General features: G+C 44.4%; 2 annotated features.

Moving 5' to 3' along the window:
- Positions 3,604–4,118: an enhancer, noted in NCBI's record as "H3K4me1 hESC enhancer chr11:73337223-73337737 (GRCh37/hg19 assembly coordinates)". NCBI's record gives its function as "activates a minimal SCP1, AML or CMV promoter by ChIP-STARR-seq in primed H9 embryonic stem cells {active_cell/tissue: H9 hESC(primed)}" and the evidence as "EXISTENCE:reporter gene assay evidence [ECO:0000049][PMID:30033119]".
- Positions 4,119–4,635: an enhancer, noted in NCBI's record as "H3K4me1 hESC enhancer chr11:73336706-73337222 (GRCh37/hg19 assembly coordinates)". NCBI's record gives its function as "activates a minimal SCP1, AML or CMV promoter by ChIP-STARR-seq in primed H9 embryonic stem cells {active_cell/tissue: H9 hESC(primed)}" and the evidence as "EXISTENCE:reporter gene assay evidence [ECO:0000049][PMID:30033119]".

Below are 24,501 nucleotides of genomic sequence, written 5' to 3'. Positions count from 1 at the left end.
GCCCCAGGAAGTCCTGCCAGAATCCCCAGGGTTCTCTGCCCGTGCTATGAGCTTCCTCCAGGCTCCCATAGTCAAGGGCTTCCCTTTATTATACCATAAGGTAATGTCACTGTTCATGTCCTCCTTTTTTTTTTTTTTTGGTTTTTGAAACAGAGTCTCTCTCTGTCACTCAGGCTGGAGTACAATGACGCAATCTCGGCTCACTGCAACCCCCGCCTCCCAGGTTCAAGCGATTCTCATGCCTCAGCCTCCTGAGTAGCTGGAGCTACAGGTGCATGCCACCATGCCAGGCTAAGTTTTGTCTTATTAGTAAAGACGAAGTTTCACCATGTTGTCCAGGCTAATCTCGAACTCCTGACCTCAGGTGATCCACCCACCTTGGCCTCTGAAAGTGCTGGGATTACAGGCATGAGCCACCATGCCCAGCCGTTCATGTCTTCTTTAATCTTCATTCCATCCACAGGCATTTATTGAACCCTTATTGTATACTAGACATTATACTTGGTGCAGAGTATCCATCAGTGAAAAGACAAAGTCCTTAAGTTCTGAAAAGAGGAGAGAGGAAAAATAGAAGACAACCAATACCTAAGCAAGATAATATGATGAATACTAAAGGAAATAAACAGCATGTTGTAATAGAAATGATGGTACAGTAGGCAGGGGAAATTATGGTCAGGGAAGCCCTTCTTGAGGAATAATATCTAAGCAATTGCACAAAGGAGAAAAAAAGGAGTGAAACCCCAAGAGGAAGAGGAGCCTAGTCTGAAGAAGCAGCTGTTCCAAAGGCCCTGGGGCAGAGAAGAGCCTGCTCTCAAATGAGAGCAAAGAGGCTGTACCTTCGTGAATAAAAAAGGGGAGAGTGTCCTGGCGCGGTGGCTCACACCTGTAATCCCAGAACTTTGGGATGTGGGGGTCCATCCTGCAGACCCTAACCCAATGATGAATGAGTAACATACACTGACACAGATATTATGCTTGTCAGTCCGGCTGAGAGTCTGGGCCGCTTACAGACTCCCAGGAGAGTGCTGTAAAGAGTTGCAACTGCGGCCCCTACTCGTTGGCCCTCCCAGCATTTATTCAGCACACATTAAATGACAAAAGTCTCAAGTAAACACCACTAGAAGGTAATTACCATTGCTGACCCCCAGAGTAGACAGCAATCATGGACCCGTGGATGGTCAAAGGTTAGTCTTAGGACCACATGAGTAAACAAGCTATTTAAATAGACTCCTCTACATTCCTATGTTAATTACCCTTGCTATAGCTCAAAGAGGATTAGGCTGCCTTCAGCCATAACTCTATCCTGAGGCTTTTGCAAAAACCTTCTGGCCTTCCAAGGTTTGTGTTTATTTTACAATTTTTCCCACCATCCTGATTGAACCCCTACACTGGGAGGCCGAGGCGGGCTGATCACAAGGTCAAGAGATCGAGACCATCCTGGCCAACATGGTGAAACCCCGTCTCTACTAAAAATACAAAAATTAGCTGGGCGTGGTGGCGTGTGCCTGCAGTTCCAGCTACCTGGGAGGCTGAGAGGCAGGAGAATTGCTTGAACCCGGGAGGCGGAGGTTGCAGTGATCTGAGATCATGCCACTGCACTCCAGCCTGGCAACAGAGCGAGAGTCCATCTCAAAAAGAAAGGGGGAGAGTGGAATGAGATTGTTCAGAGAGGAAAACATGAGCAAACACATATTGAATGCATGGAAGGGCTTGGAGAGTTTTCAGCAAAGAAATAACATGATGTGATTTCTGTTTTTAAGCTCCCTTTACCTGCTGTGTGAGAATGGCTTTAAGTGCAACCACAGTGGAAGCAGGAAGACTAGGAGGCAGGCAGGAGATGGATGTGACTTGGAAGGGGGGTGGTGGCAACAGAGATGGTGAGAAATAGATGGATTTTGCATGCATTTTGGAGATTTTGCTAACTTGCTGATGGATTGGGTGTAGATCTTGAGGGAAAAGGAGAATTTAGGAAAGACACTCAGGTTTCTGGCTTGAAGTGGAGTCATTTGTCTGTGAATATTTAAATATGTACAAAATATTTATAGAAGGACACCTAAGAAACTCCATGGGAGGCATAGTAGATTGCAAAAGATAGACACAAAATCCCTCTATGAGCAGAGTTTTGTAATATGACTTTGCTGCTTTTCTCTTCAGGGGTGGAGTCTATATTATTCCTCATCCTCAAATTTGGCTGACCAGGTGACTTACTTTGACCAACAGAAGGCAAGTGAAGGGAGATGTCAGAGTTCTGAGCCTAGGTCTGAAGAGGCCCTGCAACTTCCACCCTTTTTTTCTTGCTGCCTTGAGACTGCCACATACAGAAGTCCAGGCTACCCGCCTTAGGATGAGAGACCACAGGGAGAGAGGGGCCTAGCAGCCAGCCAGCGTGAACAGTGTGAACAGTCACGCTAGTGAGTGAGGCCATCGTAGGTGTATCCCCACCAATCTATCAGAGGACTGAAGCAGCATGATTCACCCCAGGCAAGACAAGCAGAAGCACCACTCTGCTGAGCCCAGCCCAAATTACTGACCCACAGAATCCTGAGCAAAAAAAAAGGCTGTTAAAAAAATTTTTTTTAGCTGGGCATGGTGGCTCACGCCTGTAATCCCAGCATTTTGGGAAGCCAAGGCAGGAATATCATTGAGGTCAGGAGTTTGAGACCAGCCTGTCCAACATGGTGAAACCCCATCTCTACTAAATATATAAAAATTAGCTGGGCGTGGTGGTGGATGCCTGTAATCCCACCTACTTGGGAGGCTGAGGCAGGAGAATTGATTGAACCCGGGAGGCAGAGGTTGCAGGGAGCCAAGATCGCGCCACTGCACTCCAGCCTGGACGACAGAGTGAGACTCCATCTCAAAAGAAAAAAAAAATGTTTTTTAAAAGGTTGTTGCTTTAGGCCACTATGCTTTTATGTTTTGGGTTGGTTTAATACACAGTAATAGATAACTATTATGGGACGGAACTGAATGGTTTCAATGGTTGGAGAATATGAATGGGAAAGAGGAGTTTTTTTTTTTTTTCTGAGACAGGGTCTCGCTCAGTCACCCAGCCTGGAGTGGAGTGGTGGGATCATAGCTCACTGTAGCCATGATATCCCAGGCTCACGCGATCCTGCCACCTCAGCCTCCTGAGTAGCTGAGACTACAGGTGTGTGCCACCATGCCTGGCTAATTTTGTTTATTTTAGTAGAGATGAGGTCTTGCTGTGTTGTCCAGGGTGGTCTCATACTCCTGAGCTCTAGTGATTCTCCCGCCTTAGCCTCCCCAAAGTGCTGAGATTATAGGCATGAATCACTCTGCCTGACCAGGAGAGAGATTTTAATTCACCCTTTTGTATCATTTGAATTTTAAACCTTGTGAATGTATTAACTATTTATTCTCCTCAAAAAAGTATGCTACATTCAGTGCGTAAAATACATCTCTATTTTGAACATAAAGAGTGCAATTTTTAAGTGATCCATCATTACCATTGACTTTTTTTTTTTTTTTTTTTTTGAGATGGAGTCTTGCTCTGCCGCCCAGACCGTAGTGCAGTGGCACGATCTGGCTCACTGCAACCTCTGCCTCCCGGATTTAAGTGATTCTCCTGCCTCAGCCTCCCCAGTAGCTGGGATTATAGGGATATGCCTCCACCACTCTCGGCTAATTTTTGTAGTTTTAGTAGAAACGGGGTTTTGCCATGTTGGCCAAGCTGGTCTTGAACTCCTTATCTCAGGTGATCAGCCTCCCAAAGTGCTAGGATTACATGCGTGAGCCACCGCGCCTGGCCAATGCCATTTTATATAAGGGATTTGAGCATCTGTAGATTTTGGTGTCCATGGGGGTCCTGGAACCCACCGCTAACCCCACTGTATATATTTACATACAGTAAATGTATTTGCAGTTATTGTTTTTAATTTAAATATACTGTTGTATTAACAGAAAAGTATTCATTTCGTCCCCACTAAGTACATTTGAACGAGTATTTAAAGAATGTTATTTTATTTCACTTATTTATTTTTTTGAGATGGGGGACTCACTGTTACCACAGCTGGAGTGCAGTGGCGCGATCACAGCTCACTGCAGCCTCGAGCTCAAGGAATCCTCCCGCCTCAGCTTCCCGAGTAGCTGGGACCGCCGGCGCACGCCACGACGCCCAGCTAATTTTTAAATTTTTTTGTCTCACTGCATTGCCCAGGCTCAAACTCCAGAACTCAAGCTACCCCCCGACTTCAGCCTCCCAAAGTGCTGGGATGACAGACGTGAGCCACCACGCCTGGCCAAGAATGTTATTTTAATGGTACATCAAGTTATTTGTCTTCACCAGGGCACCCCCAGATCTCCATCTGGCTCTTCTGCTTTAATAGGATAAAAATATCTAGCTATTCCTGGTTGAAGCCAAACCCCTGCCGCAGGCGAGAGGCATTACTTCCCCCTTGTGGCCATATTTGGTTGCTGCACTCAAGCCAGGCACCCAGCAGGTAGGACTTTACAATGCGTTAGCCAAGGTGAAGAACTAGATAAACTAGGCTCCTTCTGGGCTGGCATTTTATTTTATTTTATTATTTTTTTTGAGATGGAGTCTCACTCTGTCGCCCAGGCTGGAGCGCAATGGCACGGTCTCAGCTTACTGCAACCTCTGCCTCCCAGGTTCAAGCGATTCTCCTGCCTCAGCCTCCCAAGTAGCTGGGACTATAGGGGTCTGTGACCACTCCTGGCTAATTTTTGTATTTTTAGTAGAGACAGGGTTTCACTATGTTGGCCAGGCTGGTCTCAAACTCCTGTCTTCATGATCCGCCTGCCTCAGCCTCCCAAAGTGCTGGGATTACAGGTGTGAGCCACTGTGCCCGGCCCTGGGCTGGCATTTTAGAGCAGCTCTTCAGACCAAGTAATCTGACAGTCCCCAGCCTGGCTAGAACTTATAAAGTCACCCCTGTGCCTGGTAGATGATTTCCACCAACAGCCTGTCCTTCATGGAGAGGAGATGGGTTTGGATGGGGAGTGGGGAGGGGCAGCTGAAGGTTCCCTCCAACAACCAGCTATTACAGATTGTGGCTTTGGCATTCTCAAAACTCAGTGTTTGGGAGGACCTTGGGCCTGCCCATATGGCTGAAGTCTTGAAGTCCAGATTCTCCAGAGCCTCTCCTTCCTCTCAGGTACTGTTGGAGAAGGTGTCATATGTGGGTTTTCAATAAAAACTAGGGGACAAGGTTGGGCGCGATGGCTCACACCTGTAATCCCAGCTCTTTGGGAGACCAAGGTGGGCGGATCATAAGATCAGGAGATCGAGACCATTCAGGCCATCATGGTGAAAGCCTGTCTCTACTAAAATACAAAAAAAATTAGCAGGGCATGGTGGCACGTGCCTGTAGTCCCAGCTACTCGGGAGGCTGAGGCAGGAGAACTGCTTGAACTCGGGAGGTGGAGGTTGCAGTGAGACGAGATCATGCCACTGCACTCCTGCCTGGCAACAGAGTGAGACTCCGTCTCAAAAAACACAAAAAGGAAGGGGCATGGCCACAGGTACCGTGGAGATCACGGGCTGTGACCCACCAGTGTGAGGAAGCACAGAGAGGAAGACAGGAGCAAACACATATTGACTGCAATGGAAAGCCTTGGAGAGTTTGACATGATGTGACTCATGTTGTTCCTCTCCTCTCCTCTCTTCTCCTCTCCTCTCCTCTCCTCTCCTCTAAAGTCTCCTCTTCTCTCCTCTCCTCTCCTCTCCTCTCCTGTCCTCTCCTCTCCTCTCCCCTCCCCTCCTCTCCCCTCCTCCCCTCCTCCCTCCCTCCCTTTCTCTCTCTCTCTCTGTTTTTCTTTCTTTCCTTTCTCTTTTCTTTTTTTTTTTTTTTTCAGGGTCTTACTCTGTCACCTAGGCTGGAGTACAGTGGTGCAATCATAGCTCACTGCAATCTTGAACTCCTGGGCTCAAGCGATCTTCCTCCTCATCCTCCCAAAGTGCTGGGATTACAGGCGTGAGCCACCATGCCTAGCCTGAATCATGTTATTAAAAGCTCATTCTTTGGGGAGGTGGGAGGGACTGCTAATTTCTTGAGATGAGCCATGGTGGATGAAGGGCCACAGAAAGTGGACCCTTGGGGAGGACTCCTGAGTAGATGGCACTGCTGGAGCTACAGACCCTGCCCCTCCCCTGCCTATCACACTGCATGCATGCAAGCATCCTGAGGAGCATATCTGGTTGAGAGGACAGAGCCAGTTGCAATCAGCAGATATTGACATTGGTCAGTTCGAGTTTGTTTCTATTCTGCTGTCTCTATCCCAAGGTTTCTTCTTTGTATAGCACTTTGTCATGCAAAGAGGTTATATATCTGCACCACTAGCTCTGCTCAGTGGTGCAGATATAAAATAGGATCTAATAGGGAGAAATGAGCAAGCAGAGAAGTAGGGCACAAGCAATCCCTGGAACGCTCATTACCCCACTTTCCGTAATGCTGAAATGGGGAAGGAACATATTTTGCTGACATGAATGATAGAAAAAGGAACTTATAAATAGGATCAGCAGAGGGGAGGGAACAGCTGTGTGACTGTGTAACTTTAGAAGCTCCCTTGTAGAAGAGTGACCTTGTTAGAAAGGGGAGCCCCTGGAACCCAGTGGCTGATAACAGCAGCCAGTTCTTCCATTGGGCTAATTCAGACTTGCCGAACTAGAAGTCTGGGGAGGTGAAACTGACTTCTAAGGACATCCAGATGTATCTCTTCTCACATGTAAAAAAAAATGTGTCAAGTAGCACATTTTTGGCTGTAACTGACTCTTTCTAACCAAAAGTGACTGGAGCCATTGAAGTTTTGTACCTTGCTTAACAAGAAGTTAGCAGAATAGTCCTTGGATTGACTCAGTGGCTCAACCTGTCATCGAGGGCCTGGCCATCTCTCCCCTCAGCCACTCACTGTGGCAACATCTTCCCTGAAGGTTGCAAGATGACGGCTGCAGATCCAAATATCATATCATGACCTGACAACACCCGAAACCTAGATGGGAATATCAGAAGAGCTTCCTGCCTTGTCTCTCCTGTTTTTGTCTTTTTCTTTTTTTTTTCTCAAGTAAGAAAATCTTTCTTAAAATCCTGCCCCTCAGCAGACTTGCCCTTTCATTTCATTGGTCAGAACTGGGACCCAAAGACACCACTTAACAAACGACAGAGGAAGGAGACTACTACCAGGGCTGGATTAGACCAATCATGACTCATGCTGTCAACAGGGAAGAAAGAAAATGCCTGTTGGGAAGTGACCAATAGTGTCCATCATAATATTTTTTGTCCTTTTCTCTGATTACAGAAGTCATGTATGTTCATTATAGAATATTTGGGAAGCCCAGAAAAAGGTGAAGAAGAAAATAAAATCCCCTCAGATTCTACCACCTGGATCCAACTATTGTCTTACCCACTTTGCACTGGTTTTATCCATCTTTGTACTCTAGCCCTTCCATCCTTGTTCTGCACCAGCCCTTGAAATCTGCCCACCTGTCTCAAACCACCTTCCATTCAGCACCGGGTCCCAAACTTCTCCTTCTTTTTTTTTTTTAAGCAGAGTCTCACTCGTTGCCCAGGCTGGAGTGCAATGGCGTGATCTTGGCTCACTGCAATCTCTGCCTCCCAGGTTCAAGCAATTCTCCTGCCTCAGCCTCCAGAGTAGCTGGGATTACGGGGCATGAGCCACCACGCCCAGCTAATTTTTGTATTTTTAGTAGAGACAGGGTTTCACCATGTTGGCCAGCTGGTCTCAAACTCCTGGCCTCAAGAGATCCGCCCACCTCAGCCTCCCAAAGTGCTGGGATTACAGGCATGAGCCACCGTGCCTGGACTTCTCCCTCGTTCTTTTTTTATTATTTTGAAAAAATTACTAAATAACAGAGTATGTATAATTGGGAGGCTGAGGCAAGAAGACAGTGTGAGCCCAGGAGTTTGAAGCTGCAGTGAGCTGTGATTGTGCCACTGCACTCCAGCCTGGGTGATAAAGCAAGACCTTTTTTCTAAAAAAATAAAAAATAACAGTGTATGTAAAATAGATGTCTAAAGTTTAAAGAATAATGATGTATGTAATGAACACTTATGAACTCACTACTCAGCTTGAAAAACAGAGAATTACTAATACTCTGAAGCCCTGTGTGCCCTCCCCAGTGACATCCTCTCTTTCTTTTCCTGAATTTCCTATTGCTGATATTAGTCAGTTGCCACAAAAATGCCATGTGTTGCCTCAAAACTCAGTGAGGGCTGGGTGTGGGTATGGTGGCTCACACCTGTAATCCCAGAATTTTGGGAGGCCGCGGCGGGCAGATCACTTGAGGTCAGGAGTTTGAGACCAGCCTGGCCAACATGGTGAAACCCCCATCTCTACCAAAAAAAATTTCAAAAATTAGCTGGGCATGGTGGTGTGTGTCTATAATTCCATCTACTTGGGAGGCTGAGGTGGGAGAATCGCTTGAACCTGGGAGGTGGAGGTTGCAGTGAGCGGAGATCGCGCCACTGCACTCCAGCCTGGGTGACAGAGTGAGACCCTGTCTCCAAAAAACAAAAACAAAAAAACTCAATGAGCGTTTACTTTACTCTCAGAACGGCTTCAGAGTGGATTTGTTTTCTCTGAGTTACTTTCTCCTCTCTTCTCCTTACTGTCTCTCTTTTCTTCTTTTCTTTTTTTTTTTTTTTTTTTGAGATGGAGTTTTGCTCTTGTTGAGTGGCTGAGATTACAGGCATGTGCCACCATGCTCAGCTAATTTTTTGTATTTTTAGTAGAGACAGGGTTTCACCATGTTGGCCAGGCTGGTCTCGAACTCCTGACCTCAGGTGATCCACCCGCCTGGGTCTCCCAAAATGTTGAGATTACAGGCGTGAGCCACCGCACCCAGCCTTGTCTTTTTGTTTCATCAGTTAGGATGCTTCATTATGAACATGGACACCAGCTCTGGCACTCTTAAGCAGATCTGAGTTTTTCCTTCTTCTGTCAACTGATTGTAGGTAATGCCCCATTAAGCCATAGGTGAAGGCTGGGAGAGATAAGGTGCTATACTAGGGACTTTGGGCATTGGGCCCCCCCACTTTTTTTTTTTTTTGAGATGGAGTTTTGCTCTCATTGCCCAGACTGGAGTGCAGTGGCGCAATCTTGGCTCACTGCAACCTCTGCCTCCTGGGTTCAAGCAATTCTCCTGCCTCAGCCTCCTGAGAAGCTGGGACTATAGGCGTGTGCCACCACGCCCAGCTAATTTTTGTACTTTTAGTAGAGATGGGGTTTCACCTTGTTGGCCAGGCTGGTCTCAAACTCCTGGCCTCAAGTAATCTGCCAGCTGCGGCTTCCCAATGTGCTGGGATTATAGGCGTGAACCACCACGCCCCTGCCTGGGCCACTTCCTTGTCTAATTTATTTGTGCCTTCAAGGCCTACTCAGGGCCAGTCTTATATATATCATTTCCATTTGATGATGGAGTATGCTGCACATGCCTAGCTTTATGGTTTGATGGGCCAGATAACACCCAATTCGTAATGGGCAGCCCGGTTTGGATGGTACCTTGGTGGCCCATGGTTAGGTGTTCAGTGTCTACTAAGGTCCTGTAGCAGGCCAAGAGCTGTTTCTCAAAAGGGGAGTAGTTATCCACAGAGGATGAAAGTACTTTGCTCCAACATCATAAGGGCTTGCACTGTGGTTCAGCTACAGGGCCCTGCCAAAGTCTCCAAACTGCATCCCTATCTGCCACTGACACTTGAAGTTCCATTGGTTCATATGGCCCAAGCGCAGAGCAGCTTGCACAGCAGCTTGAACCTGTTGCAGAGCCTTCTCTCATTGTGGGATCCACTCAAAATTTGCAGTGTTTCAGGTCACTTGGTAAATGTCCCTCATTTGGGCCAAACACACCCAAATGAGGAATATGTTGCCTGTAAAATACAAAGTGGCCCACTACACATTGTGCTTGCTTTTCATTGTAAGAGGGGCCAGATGCAACAAGTTTAACCTCAGAAGGAATATCTTGACATGCCCCACACCACTGGACCCCTAGAAATTTCACTGAAATAGAAGACCTCTGAAATTTTGTTAGATTTATTTCTCATCCTCTGACATGCAAATGTCTTACTAATAAATCTAGAGTAGTTGCTACTTCTCGCTTACTAGATCCAATCAAGATATTGTCATGAATGTATTGGACCAGTGTGATACCTCGTGGAAGGGAAAGACAATCAAGATCCCTGCAAATTAAATTATGAAATAGAGCTGAAGAGTTGATGTACGCCTGAAGTGTGATAGTGAAGGTGTATTGTTGGCTTTGCCAGCTGAAAGCAAACTACTTCTGGTGGTCCTTATTCACAAGGATAGAGAAAAACACATTTGCCAGATAATAGTTGCATACCAGGTACCACATATAGGATACGTTAATTTGCTCAAGCAATGAAACCACATCTGGTATAGCAGTTTCAACTGGAGTCACCACCTGGTTAAGTTTACAATAATCCACCATCATTCTCTAAGATTTATCTGGCTTCCTCACAGGCCAAATGGGCAAGTTGAATGGGGATTTGGTGGGTACCTCCACCCCTGAAGATCACTATGCCTTAATCTTTCAAGTTCTTGATTGAGATATTGATCTCTGCAGTCCCTCCAGGAATGTGGTATTGCTTTTGTTTTACTAGCTTCCTAAGTAGAAGCAGTTCTAGTGGCTTCCATTTGGCCTTTCCCATCACAATAATCCTCACTTTATAGGTTAGGGAACCAATGTAGGGATTCTGCCAGCTGCAGAGTGAGTCTACTCCAATTATGCACAGAACTGGGGACATAATCAGAGGATGGGTTTGGGGACCCACTGGGCCCACTGTGAGACGGACCTGAGCTAAAATTCCACCTGACATCCATAAGCCCCTATTTTGACTGATGGACCACCATGACATTTTAGGCCACCTGGAATTAGTGCCAGTTCAGTCAGTGTCCAGGAGTCCCCAAAAGGTCTGATTATTTTCTTTTTCCCAACACACAGTGACCCTGGTGAAAGGGTCACTTTCACCTTTCACCACGGTCACTGTGTATTGGGAAAAAGAAAATAAAAGATTGACAGTATAAATTTGGGGCTGTATATCAGGCTTCAGGTTCCTGAAGGGAACCTGGTCTCCCCTCCATTTAAGGGGTTCTGGGCTTATAAACTGGCTTAAGCCTGGGAATTGATTGAGCTTCTGCAGCTCTCTGTTTTTATGATTTGAGTTAGACTTTTGTCCACTTAACCTAGTACTTTTCTGCTTTCTACAGATCAAGTAAGAATTTAGTAGGCTTCCTATCTATTTCACTTCTAGGAACACCATGCTCAGCTAGCCAACGCCATAGATCTGTGCACATCAGACTATTCTCATTGCTGCTTTGACTCTGCTGTCCATTTTGATAACCACTCCCACCACACACACACACACACACACACACACACACACACACACACACACACGGGAACTGGCTCATGCTCTTATGGAGGCTTAGAAGTCCCAAAATCCGCAGTCAGAACATGAAGACCCAGGAGTACCTGGAGCACCAATGTGGCCTGAAAGCCAGCAGGTTTGAGACTCAAGAAAAGCTGAAGTTTCAGCCTGTCTCCAAAGGTAGGAAAAGACCTGATACCCATCCAGCTCAAGTAGTCAAGCAGGAGGAGTTTCCTCTTACTTAGCCTTTTCGTTCTGTTCAGGTCTTCAACTGATTGTATGAGGCCCACCGACATTAGGGCTTTATTTAGTTTTCGGATTCAAATGTTAATCTCTTCCAGAAACCCTCACAGCTACATCAAGACAATGGTTAGCCAAATGTCTGGGCATCCTCTATTTCAGTCAAGTTGACACATAAAATTAACCACCATAGTCATTTTTTTTTTCTGAGATGGAGTGTCACTCTGTCGCCCAGGCTGGAGTGCAGTGGCGCAATCTCGGCTCACTGTAACTTCCGCCTCCTGGGTTCAAGCAATTCTCCTGCCTCAGCCTCTTAAGTAGCTGGGACTACAGGTGTGTGCCACCATGCCCAGCTAATTTTTGTGTTTTTAGTAGAGACGGGGTTTCACCTTATTGGCCAGGCTGGTCCCAAACTCCTGACCTCAAGTGATCTGCCCACCTTGGCCTCCCAAAGTACTGGGATTAGAGGCCTGAGCAACTGCACCCAGCAACCACCATAGTCTTATAGGGAAAAACAAAATCTGCATTCAGGGAACTTCCAGGAGTTCAGTAGGAACAAAACTTTGAGTGTTTACTGGATTTTTCTCTGCCAGAATGTCTAAACATTCTCACAGTTATTGTCTCATTATGTGTCAGTCCCTCACACTCATCTGTGCAAGGTTCTAGGGCAGGACCTATTTCTCAAGAAGAAACAGACGTATCCATGATAACATGTGAGAGATTTTAACACACCTCTCTCTGTAACTGATAGAATATGCAAATTAAAAAAACAATAAGGGCAAAGAATATTTGAATAACACATTTAACATACTTGACCTTATTATTGACATATATGGAACATTGAAACCAACAACTATAGAACATATACTCAAGTGCACTTGGAATACTTATTGATATGCTAGGCCACAATGTAAATAGCACTAAATTTCAAAGAACTGAAATATATAATATAGCATATACTCAATGACCACAGATGGATTATGCTAGCAATAAAAAACAAAAAGAAAACTAGAATATCGGCTGGGTGTGGTGGCTCACGCTTGTAATCCCAGCACTTTGGGAGTCCAAGGTGGGCAGATCACAAGGTCAGGAGTTTGAAACCAGCCTGCCAACATGATGAAACCCCGTCTCTACTAAAAATACAAAAATTAGCCGGGTGTGGTGGTGGGCGCCTGTAGTCCCAGCTACTCGGGAGGCTGAGGCAGGAGAATCGCTTGAACCCGGGAGGTAGGGGTTGCAGTGAGCTGAGATCGTGCCATGGCACTCCAGCCTGGGTGACAGAGCAAGACTCTGTCTCGGAAAAAAAAAAAGAAAAAGAAAAAGAAAGCTAGAATATCCCAAAATGTTTGGAAATTGAGCAGTATACTACTAAATAACCCATGGGTCAAAAAACAAACCCCAGTGAACATTTAAAACCAGTTGAATCAAATAATAATGAAAATACAATAAGTCAAAACTTGTGAGAAGCAGCTAAAGCCATGCTTAGAGTAAAATTTATGGCTTTAAATGCATATATTAGAAATAAAAAATGGCTGAAAAATCTACTATCGAACTGTCTACCTCAAGTAGTTAGGAAAAGCATACAGAAATTAAGTCCAAATAAAGTAGAAGGATGAAAGTAGTAAAAAATGACAGAGGAATTTAGTAACAGAAAACCAAGATATGAAAGAGAGGATCAACAGAACCAAAAGGTAATTAGCTGATAAGACTACTAAAATTGGTAAACTTGGCTGGGTGTGGTGGCTCACGTCTGTAATCCCAGCACTTTGGGAGGCCAAGGTGGGTGGATCACCAGAGGTCAGGAGTTCGAGATCAGCCTGGCCAACATGGTGAAACCCTGTCTCTACTAAAAATACAAAAATTAGCCAGGCGTGGTGGCACGCTGAGGTGGCTGAGGCAGGAGACTCTCTTGAACCTGGGAGGCAGAGGTTGCAGTGAGCCGAGATTGCGCCTCTGCACTCCTGGACAACAGAGGGAGACTCTGTCTCAAGAAATAAATAAAAATAAAAAATAAAACAAAATTGATAAACTCCTGGCAAGAGTGATGAAGGAAAAAGGAGACACAAAAAACTATCCCTTCGGAATGGAAATAAGGCCATCACTACAGAGCCTACATTTATTGAACTATAGTGAGAGGATATTATAAACAACTATATTCTAGAAAACAACCATATTCTAGAACAACAGCCTACTTAATTGTCCTGTTTTAAGAAATTGATTCTGTTACTTATAAAAATCTCCCCACAAAGAAAACTCCAGGTCCAGATGTTTTAATGGTGAGTTCTTTCTAACATTTAAGGAAGAAATAATAATAACTTTATACAAAGTCTTCCAGCAAACAGAAAAACTGGGAATACTTCTTAACTCATTTTATCTGTTCAGCATTACCTTGATACGAAAACCTGACAAGAACATTATAAGGAAGAAAAATAACAGGCCAAACAAAGATGCAAAATTCTAAACAAAATATCAGCAAACCAAATCCAAAGGTCTATAAATAGGATAATACTACACAACCAAGTTGTGTTTATTCAAGGAATACAAGGTTGGTTTAACATTTGAAAACCAATCAACATAGTCTACCAAATTAACAGAATAAATTTTAAAATAATCATAGAATCATCTCAAGAGATGCAGAAAAATCATTTGATTAAAGTTACCACTGGCTGGGTGCAGTGGCTCATGCCTGTAATCCCAGCACTTTGGGAGGCCAAGGCGGGTGGATCACGAGGTCAAGAGAATGAGACCATCCTGGCCAACATGGTGAAACCCCGTCTGTACTAAAAATACAAAAATTAGCTGGGCATAGTGGCACGTACCTGTAGTCCCAGCTACTCGGGAGGCTGAGGCAGGAGAATCGCTCGAACTTGGAAGGCAGAGGTTGCAGTAAGCCAAGATTGCGCCACTGCACTCCAGCCTGGCAACAGAGTGAGACTCCATCTCAAAAAAAAAAAAAAAATTCACCACCTATTTATTTATTTCGATTTTTAGTAGAGATGAGGTCTCTCTATGTTGCCTAGATTGGTCTCAAACTCCTGAGCTCAAGTGATCCTTCCAACTTGGCCTCCCAACAGGCATGAGCCACCATGCCCAGCCACCACCTATTTATTATAAGATTCTTTTCAAGTTAAGAATAGAAGGAAACTTCTTTAATCTAATAAACAGCTTGCACAAAACACCTACATCAAACATCATACTGGTGAGATAAACACCTAAGAAAAGAATGAAAAAGGGTTCCCACTATTACCACTTCTATTCAACATTGTACTTGAGGCTCTCCTCAATGAGACAAAAAAAGATGTAGAATTAGAAAGAAAACAAATAGCCCAGCATGATGACACGTGCCTGTAATCTCAGCATTTTGGGAAGCCGAGGTAGGAGGATCGCTGGAACCCACAAGCTTGAGACCACCTAAGCAACATAATGAGACTCTGTCTCTACAAAAAATATGAAAATTAGTTGGACACGGTGTCTCACACGCCTGTAGTCCCAGCTACTGAGGAGGCTGAGGCAGGAGGATGCCTTCAGCCCAGGACCTCAGGTTGCAGTGAAATATGTTTGTGCCACTGCACTCCAGCCTGGACAACAGGGGGAGACCCCATATCAATCAATCAATCAATCAATCGATCGATAAGTAAGTAAAACTGTTATTAGTTGAGGGCATGGATTTGGATTGATTCTTCTGCCAGGGCCTGGCAAAGAGTAGGCACTTGCTAAATATCTGCTGAATGGACAGAGAGATGAATAGACAAAGGAGGTATTAAAACATGGGGCCCCAAGGTAGGGGCCTTTACTAGGTAAGCAGTAACCACTACATAATCAACAGAAAAAAATGAAACTTACAACAGTAAAACTGCATACAGTGAAAGTTTTTTTGATGAAATAATCAAATAAATATCCTTGACAAAACATTAATCAGCAGGCACAGTGACTCACACCTGTAATCTCAGCATTTTGGGAGGCCAAGGTGGAAAGATCAGTTGAGCCCAGGAGTTCCAGACCAGCCTTGGCAACATGGTGGAACCCCATCTCTACAAAAAATACAAACATTAGCTGGGTGTGGTGATGCACACCTGTAGTCCCAGCTACTCAGGAGGCTGAGGTGGGAGGATCACCTGAGCCCAGGCAGCTTGAGGCTGCAACGAGCCAAGATTATGCCGGTCTGGGTTACAGAGTGAGACCCTGTCTCAACAAAACAAAACAAAACAAAACAAAACAAAACAAAACAAAACAAAACAAAACATAAATCAGGAAATGCTTGGCCACTGTCTCCATTTCTGTTTTCTCTTTGGAGTTCCAGCAGGGTGTCAGGCTATTTGAATTCCTCTTTGACCCTACAGATGTTTTTGTCTTGTGTTTATGAATATAGGCTTTTAGATAGAATTACATCATATTGATTATTTTTCACTGAGAATATTTACCAGAACAAATGCCATTAGATCAGTTCAATACCTTTGATTTTCTACATAGCCTGTGAAATCTATTTCTGACTTATCCATTTTCATTTAATTTGAACTCAATTATCTTCATCTGAAAAATGATTTTCAATATAAATTTTATGATTATTTGAGTCATCCATCAATCTTAAAAATCTATGTCACAGCTTAATAATTATAGCTCTTGCCATTGTAAGTTATCTTTTGTGGTCTTTTTTTTTTTTTGATACAGGGTCTCACCTCACTCTGTCAGGCTGGAGTACAGTAACATAATCATGGCTCATTGCAGCCTCAACCTCCCAGGCTCAAGCGATCCTCCCAGCTCAGTCTCCTGAGTAGCTGGAACTACAGGTGTGTGCCACCACACCCAGCTAATTTTTGTATTTTTTTGTAGAAACAGAGTTTCACCATGTTGACAAGGCTAGTCTTGAACTCCTGGGCTCAAGCAATCCGCCCATCTCAGCCTTCCAAAGTGTTGGGATTACACGTGTGAGCTACCACGTCTGGCCTGTGGTCATTATTTCTATCTTCTATCAGGTCCACTTTTTCTGGGATGAATTTTGCAAATCTGCACTTTGTCAAGATTTTTTTTTTTTTTTTTTTGAGACAGAGTTTCACTCTTGTTGTCCAGGCTGGAGTGCAATGGTGTGATCTCGGCTCACTGCAACCTCCGACTCCCGGGTTTAAGCAATTCTCCTGTCTCAGCCTTCTGAGTAGCTGGGATTACAGGCATGCGTCACTGTGCCCGGCTAATTTTTATATTTTTAGTGGAGACGGGGTTTCACCATGTTGATCAGGCTAGTCTCGAACTCCTGACCTCAGGTGATCTGCCCACCTCAGCCTCCCAACTTGCTGGGTTTACAGGCATGAGCCATCATCGCCCAGCCAACATTTTTTTGATTTTTCCATCAACTTTTAGTCAATAAGTAATTTCACTGTATATGATTTAGCCATTTTCAGTTTTTGTTTTTTCTGTCGATTATGTAGCGTATAAGTTTTTTTTTGAGACAGGGTTTCACTCTGTCACTCAGGCTATAATGCAGTGGTGAGATCGTAACTCACTGTAGCCTTGATCTCCTGGGCTCAAGTGATTCTCCCACCTCAGCCTCCTGAGTAGCTGGGACAATAGGTGCATGCCACCATGCCCCACAAATTGAATTTTTTTTTTTTTTTGTAGAGATGGGATCTCCCCATGTTGCGCAGGCTGGTCTTGAAATCCTGAGCTCAAGAAATCCACTAGCCTCAGCCTCCCAAAGTGCTGAGATTACAGTTGTGACTCATGGCGCCCGGCCTGAAACACAGACTTCTTACCCTCTTTGAAATCAGTTTTGACTGACAAAGGGTGATTGTTCACAATATATAAAGACTTTCTGAAAATAGAGGGAAAAAGAACAACCCTTTAAACCACAATGAGGTTTCGGGACATAGCTATTAGAACAGGTAGACTTAAAAAAAAAGTGATAACACCAAATGCTGATGAGAATGTAGAGAAATTGAATCATCATGCATTGCTGGTGGGAACATAAAATGATACAGTCACTGTGGCAAACAGTTTGGCAGTTTTTTTTTTCTTTTGAGATGGAATCTCGCTCTGTCACCCAGGCTGGAGTGCAGTGGCATGAACTTGGCTCTATGCAACCTCCGCCTCCTGGGTTCAAACAATTCTCCTGCCTCAGTCTCCCAAGTGGCTTGGACTACAGGCGTGCGTCACTACTCCCGACTAGTTTTTTGTATTTTTAGTAGAGATGGGGTTTTACTACGTTGGCCAGGCTGGTCTCAAACTCCTGACCTCAGGTGATCCACCCACCTCAGCCTCCCAAAGTGCTGGGGTTATAGGCGTAAGCCACCACGCCTGGCCGGCAGTTTCTTGTAAAACTAGACATGCACTTATCATATGACCCAGCAATCATACTGTTAGGCATGTATCCCAGAGAAATAAAAACTTTTGTTCACACAAAAACCTATACATGAATGTGCATAGAGCTTTATTTTATTCATAATACAAAAAAAAAAAAACTGGAAACAATCCAGATATCCTTCAATGAGTAAATGGCTAAACAGACTCTGGGACATCCACATGATGGAATACTATCCAGTCATCAAAAAGAATGAACTATTGATGCATGTAATAATTTAGATGGATCTCAAGGGGGTTGTGCTTAATGAAAAGTCAATCTCAAAAGGTTACATTTCCTAAATGACAAAACCAGAGAGATGAACTTACTAGTAGTTGCCAGGGGACAAGGGAGGAGGGACTGCACAAGGGAGTTCCTTTGTAGTGCATGGATCAGTTTTGTATCTTGACTGTGGTGGCGGTACATGAATTTGTATGTAAGAAATCTCATCGAATTATACACACACACACACACACACACACACACACACACAAATTAATGCACGTGAAAAATGGTGAAAACTTAACCAAGTCTGTAGTTTAGTTAAAAATATTTTACTGGCCAGGCACGATGGCTTACAACTATAATCCCAGTATTCTGAGAGGCCAACGCCAAGAGGATTACGTGAGCCCAGGGGTTCTAGACCAGCCTAGGCAACATAACAAGACCCTGTCTCTACAATAAATTTAAAAATTAGCCGGGTGTGGTGGCACGTGCCTGTAGTCCCAGCTACTCAGGAGGCTGAGGTGGGAAGATTGCTTGAGCCCAGGAGATTGAGGCTACAGTGAGCCATGATAGCATCACTGCATTCCATGCTGGGCAACAGAATGAGACCCTGCCTCAAAAAAAAAAAAAATTACCAATGTAAATTTCTTGGTTTTGATATTACACTACCATTATATAAGATGTCACTATTGGTGGAAGCTGGATGAAGGGTACATGGGACTCTATGTACTATTTATTCTTATGTTTATTTTTTTCTATGTACTATTTTTGCAGCTTTCTTCAAGTATATTATTTTTTCAGACTAAAAAGCTTTAAAAAGATGGCAGCAATCCTTTAGGAAAAAAAATGGGCAAGTGGCCAGGCGTGGTGGCTCATGCCTGTAATTCCAGCACTTTGGGAGGCTGAGGCAGGTGGATCACTTGAGGACAGGAGTTTGAGACCAGCCTGGTCAACCTGGCGAAATCCAGTCTCTACTGAAAATACAAAAATTAGCCAGGTGTGGTGGCCCATGCCTGTAGTCCCAGCTACTCAGGATGCTGAGGCACAAGAATTGCTTGAACCCAGGAGGTACAGGTTGCAGTGAGCTGAGATTGTGCTACTGCACTCCAGCCTGGGTGATGGGGCGAGACTCTGTCTCCACCCCCATCCCCACCCCCACCCCCACCCAAAAAAATAGAAGGCCAGGTGAGGTGGCTCACGCCTGTAATCCCAGCACTTTAAGAGACTGAGGTGGGTGGATCACCTGAGGTCAGGAGTTCAAGACCAGCCTGGCCAACATGGCAAAACCCCATCTCTACTAAAAATATAAAAATTAGCCAAGTGTGGTGGTGGGTGCCCGTAATCCCAGCTACTCGGGAGGCTGAGGCGGGAGAATCGCTTGAACCTGGGAGGCAGAGGTTGCAGTGAGCCGAGATTGCGCCACCGCACCACTGCACTCCAGCCTGGGCAACAGAGTGAAACTCTGTCTCAAAAAAAAAAAGAAAAAAAAAAAAGAAAAGAAAAAGGAAAAAGACCAGAAACAGAGTTTATCGAGAAAGAAATGCAAATAATCCTTAAGCTTATGAAAAGACGACCTGACGACCTACCTTGCTCATAATAAGAGAAACGCAAAGTAAAACTACACTGAGAAACAATTTCTCACTCTCAAAATTAGCAAAAATCCATCTATAGAATGCAATATGATGCAGCTGTAAAAAAAGAACAGAGAATGGACTCTCTCTACATATTTCTCTTTATTTCTTTTTTTTTTTTTTTTTGACACAGGGTCGCACTCTGTCGCCCAGGCTGGAGTGCAGTGGCGTGATCTCAGCTCACTCACTGCAAGCTCTGCCTCCCGGGTTCACGCCATTCTCTTGCCTCAGCCTCCCGAGTAGCTGGGACTACAGGCGCCCGCCACCATGCCCAGCTAATTTTTTGTATTTTTAGTAGAGACGGGGTTTCACCGTGTTAGCCAGGATGGTCTCCATCTCCTGACCTCGTGATCCGCCCACTTTGGCCTCCCAAAGTGCTGGGATTACAGGCGTGAGCCACCGCGTCCGGCCGAAAAAACAAGTTATTTCCCAACTTCATCCACTAAAAAGAAAAGCCCAGAAACAATGACTAACCAATAACAATAAGCACTTAGACCTAGACTGTAAGTGCCATTAAATAAACCAGGGCTTCTTGGTTTATCTCTGGGAGGCTTTCCTGCCTCAGCCCCGCTCTCTCTACTGTTTTGCTTACTTAGATTCTATATTCAGGGAAGGAAATGCAAAGTGAGCTTGGAAGGTCTTGCTGAACCAGGAATCAAGGAATCTGTCAAAGGCCATTGGGGGTTGTGTCAGGAGCCACATTGAAGAAGCTCCCGCTAAGCTTAGCTGGAGCCAAGAATACTAACTGCAGTGGATGAAAATACATTACACATATTTAAATCCAGGAATTCGTAATGATACTACAAAAACAAAAACTCATTGGTCACCTTTAGAGAATGCTATGAACTAATTGTTCAGAAAATCGGCAAATAAAGGAAAGTATCAAGCATTTATTGTAGTCTTTTCTGAATGAATTACATACTTCAGGGTAATTAAATAGTTGATGAAGAGAAGAAAAATTCCAGCTAGTAAAGGAAGAGGAGATGATAGAATTATAATGTCACCATTTTGAAACATTTAATAGATTACTGGATCTAGGAATCATCATCAGTGAACGATAACATCCTCAAGACAGAAACAGTTTCACATTATTTGCCTCTGATGAAAGTATACTACACCATATGGGGTATCTTTTCCCCATATTATACTTGAGAATAATCAAGTCTCTTTTTTTTTTTTTTGAGACGGAGTCTTGCTCTGTCGCCCAGGCTGGAGTGTAGTGGCGGGATCTCGGCTCACTGCAAGCTCCGCCTTCCAGGTTCACGCCATTCTCCTGCCTCAGCCTCCCGAGTAGCTGGGACTACAGGTGCCCGCCACTGCGCCTGGCTAATTTTTTGTATTTTTAGTAGAGACAGGGTTTCACCGTGGTCTCGATCTCCTGACCTCGTGATCCGCCCGCCTCTGCCTCCCAAAGTGCTGGGATTACAGGCGTGAGCCACCGCGATTACAGGTGTGAGCCACCGCGCCCGGCCTTAATCAAGTCTCTTGAACTAATTATCAATTTACAGCTAATACAGGATACAGAGGAACAGAGATTTTCAACACTCTGCAATGTTTTATATTTTTTTAATGAAGTACTCTTGCAAAACATTAGGAATTAATAGAACTTTTCTATCTATTGGATTTTATTTTATTTATTTTTTGGTTTTTGGTTTTTTTTTGAGACGGAGTCTTGTTCTGTTGCCCAGGCTGGAGTGCAGTGGCGCAATCTCGGCTCACTGCAACCTCTGCCTCCCAGGTTCAAGGGATTCTTGTGCCTCATCCTCCCGAGTAGCTGAGACTACAGGTGCGCACCATCACGCCCGGATAAGTTTAGTATTTTTTAGTAGAGATGGGGTTTTACCATGTTAGTCAGGTTGGTCTCGAACTCCTGGCCTCAAGTGATCTGCCTGCCTCAGCCTCCCAAAGTGCTGGGATTACACGCGTGAGCCACTGTGCCTGGCCTATCTATTGGATTTTATGAACAAGAACATAAAACAACACAGGTATTTGGACACAGCCTTGGCCTTTGTGGGGGCTCCAGCTTCCCAGCTTTTCCCTCTGGGAGGCTTTCCTGCCTCAGCCCCGCTCTCTGTACTGTTTTGCTTACTTAGAGTATATTCTCTGAGAAGTGCTAGGTTGTTCCATCCTGAGACAACTTCTCCTGATCTTGTCCACTCTGCTCTACTCCACCCTGACATCCTTAAGTGCCTCCTGCCAACATTTCTAGAGCTTACTTCCTTAATAAAAACCAAAACAATACAAATGTAAACAAAATAAAACAAAACACAAAATATTTGTGTCTTGTTTGTCTCTGTGCAGAGCTTTAGAGTTGATGAGAAATTTACATTGGACTCTCTTAAATGAGGTTATATGTCAGTCTCTGCATTTTTCAGAAAGGTGAAATGACTTATACCCAAGATCACATAGCTTGGTTTGGTGCAAGGACAGACTGGGAGGAGGATTGGAATTAAATTCTGTCTGGCTCTTTAGTCTCTGCCAACTCTATCCCACTACCTCTTCAATGTAACACCTGATTAAAAATCACTGTCACAGGCACAAACCCTCAATCTTTGTCATTCCTCCCCAGATACCCTGCTCTTGTCCAACTAATTGTGAGAGAGATTCTTTACCTGGAACCTATCTGAGAGTCCACAGAGAGAACTCAGGGGCTCCACAATCTTGGATGGGAAAGTTACATTTTTACATTCATTTATATTTACAGAAATTTAGTATTTCCTCCAATTCTGAATATACATAACAAACCACAGTCAAACTGCAGTGCCACAGTACTTGTGACTTTGTCACTAACAGAAATCACAGGTGTTTTCATATCACAATTGTTGCAGATATCTCAAAATATTATTTGTGCTCATCATTACAATAAACTTTTGGCAGTCAAACTTAAATTGGCAGTGAAATCTTGTTACTTATTTATTTTTTTGAGACAGGGTCTCACTCTGTTTTCAAGGCTGGAGTACAGTGGTGCGATCATAGCTTATTGTAGCCTTGACCTCTCAGGCTCAAGTGATCCTCCCTTCTGGGTAGCTGGGACCACAGGTGTGCCCCACCACACCTGGCTAATTTTTTTATTTTTATTTTTTGTAGAGACAGTGTTTTGCCACGTTGCCCAGGCTGGTCTCCAACTCCTAAACTCAAGCGATCCTTGCACCTTGGCCTCGCAAAGTGCTGGAACTACAGGTGTGAGCCACTGCCATTGTGGAGTTTACAGCAGCTGGAGGAGAATGTGCAGGTGGTAACACTGGGCTTGGCCTGGTGTTTCTTCTGGGTTCCTGCAGCCCCTCGCTCTCTTCTGCCACGGCGTTGATTACGCTGGGATGTAATTGTGTCAGTGTATTCCTTAGAGTGTGAGTTCCTTGGAGACAAAGCCACGCTTGAGTCTGCCTTAGGCCCCTGGCACCAGCAAAAGACCTGGTTCGTACTTTAAGCTGAGTGAAAAATGAATAAATATTCAATGTTGTTCATCACCTTCCAGCTGGAGGAAACTCAGCTCTTCTGGGAATAAAAGCCCTTCAGTTCTGACCCTTTTTTGGGAGAGACTTCCCACCTTCTAGCTAAAATGAAAATTGGTGGCTCCCTTGTTCCCTATCTCCCATCATTCAAACATAACTCCAGAAACAAACAAGCAAATACCACCTCCTCCTGTCCCCTGCCCCCAGATCTCTCTTGCTCTCTGTACAAGGCAAAGTTATGAAAGTCCTGGATTAGGCACTGGGTTTTCCATGAATTAACTCATTTCATCCTGTGAAGGAGATAACGATAATCACATCTTACAATTTAGGACATAGAGGTCCAGTAAGGAGAAGATATTTTTCCAGTGTCACAGCCTGTAAGTTACTCAGGTGGGGTATGAATCCAGGTCTGGCCTCCCTGTCTCTGTGCACTTTGTATGACATCAGAGTTTTTCACACATTAATTAGAAATATTGGCTATCCCAGGAGACAAGGCAAGAACTAAGAGTACAATAGGACTTAAAAAGAGAAAAGGCACAGATTCAAAGACAATGAATGTTAACATCAGTTTTCCATAGCTGCTGTTAGGGATGACAAATTAAATGGAACTGATGAACATTTTTTTTGTTTGTTTTTGTTTTTTGAGACGGAGTCTCGCTCTGTGGCGCCCAGGCTGGAGTGCACTGGCGCAGTCTCCGCTTACTGCAACCTCTGCCTCCTGGGTTCAAGAGATTCTCCTGCCTCAGTCTCCTGAGTAGCTGGGATTACAGGTGCCAGCCACCACACCTGGCTAATTTTTTTTGTATTTTTAGTAGAGACTGGGTTTCACCATTGTTGGTCAGACTGGTCTTGAACTCTCGACCTCAGGTGATCTGCCCACCTTGGCCTCCCAAAGTGCTGGGATTACAGGCGTGAGCCACCGCGCCCGGCCCAGAACTGATGAACATTTACCAAAACAGGCTCCTCTGAATCTGGGGCTTAAAATACTTGCTAATTATTTGATTTCATGGGTTTCCAATTTAATTGGTGTATTAGTTTCCTAACCCAACTTAATTGGTGTATTTGTTTCCTAAAGTTGCCTTAACAAATTACCATAAACTGGGTGGCTTAAAACAACAGATGTGTATTCTCTCACAGCTGTGGAGATCAGAAGTCTGAAACCGAGGTGTTTGCAGGATTAGTTCCTTCTGGAGGTGCTGAGGAAGAATCGGTTCCATGCCTCTCAGCTTCTGGTGGCT

Source organism: Homo sapiens, chromosome 11, assembly GCF_000001405.40.
Source record: "Homo sapiens chromosome 11, GRCh38.p14 Primary Assembly".
NCBI classification, from domain to species: Eukaryota; Metazoa; Chordata; class Mammalia; order Primates; family Hominidae; genus Homo; species Homo sapiens.
This window is presented reverse-complemented; position numbering and strand designations above follow the sequence as displayed.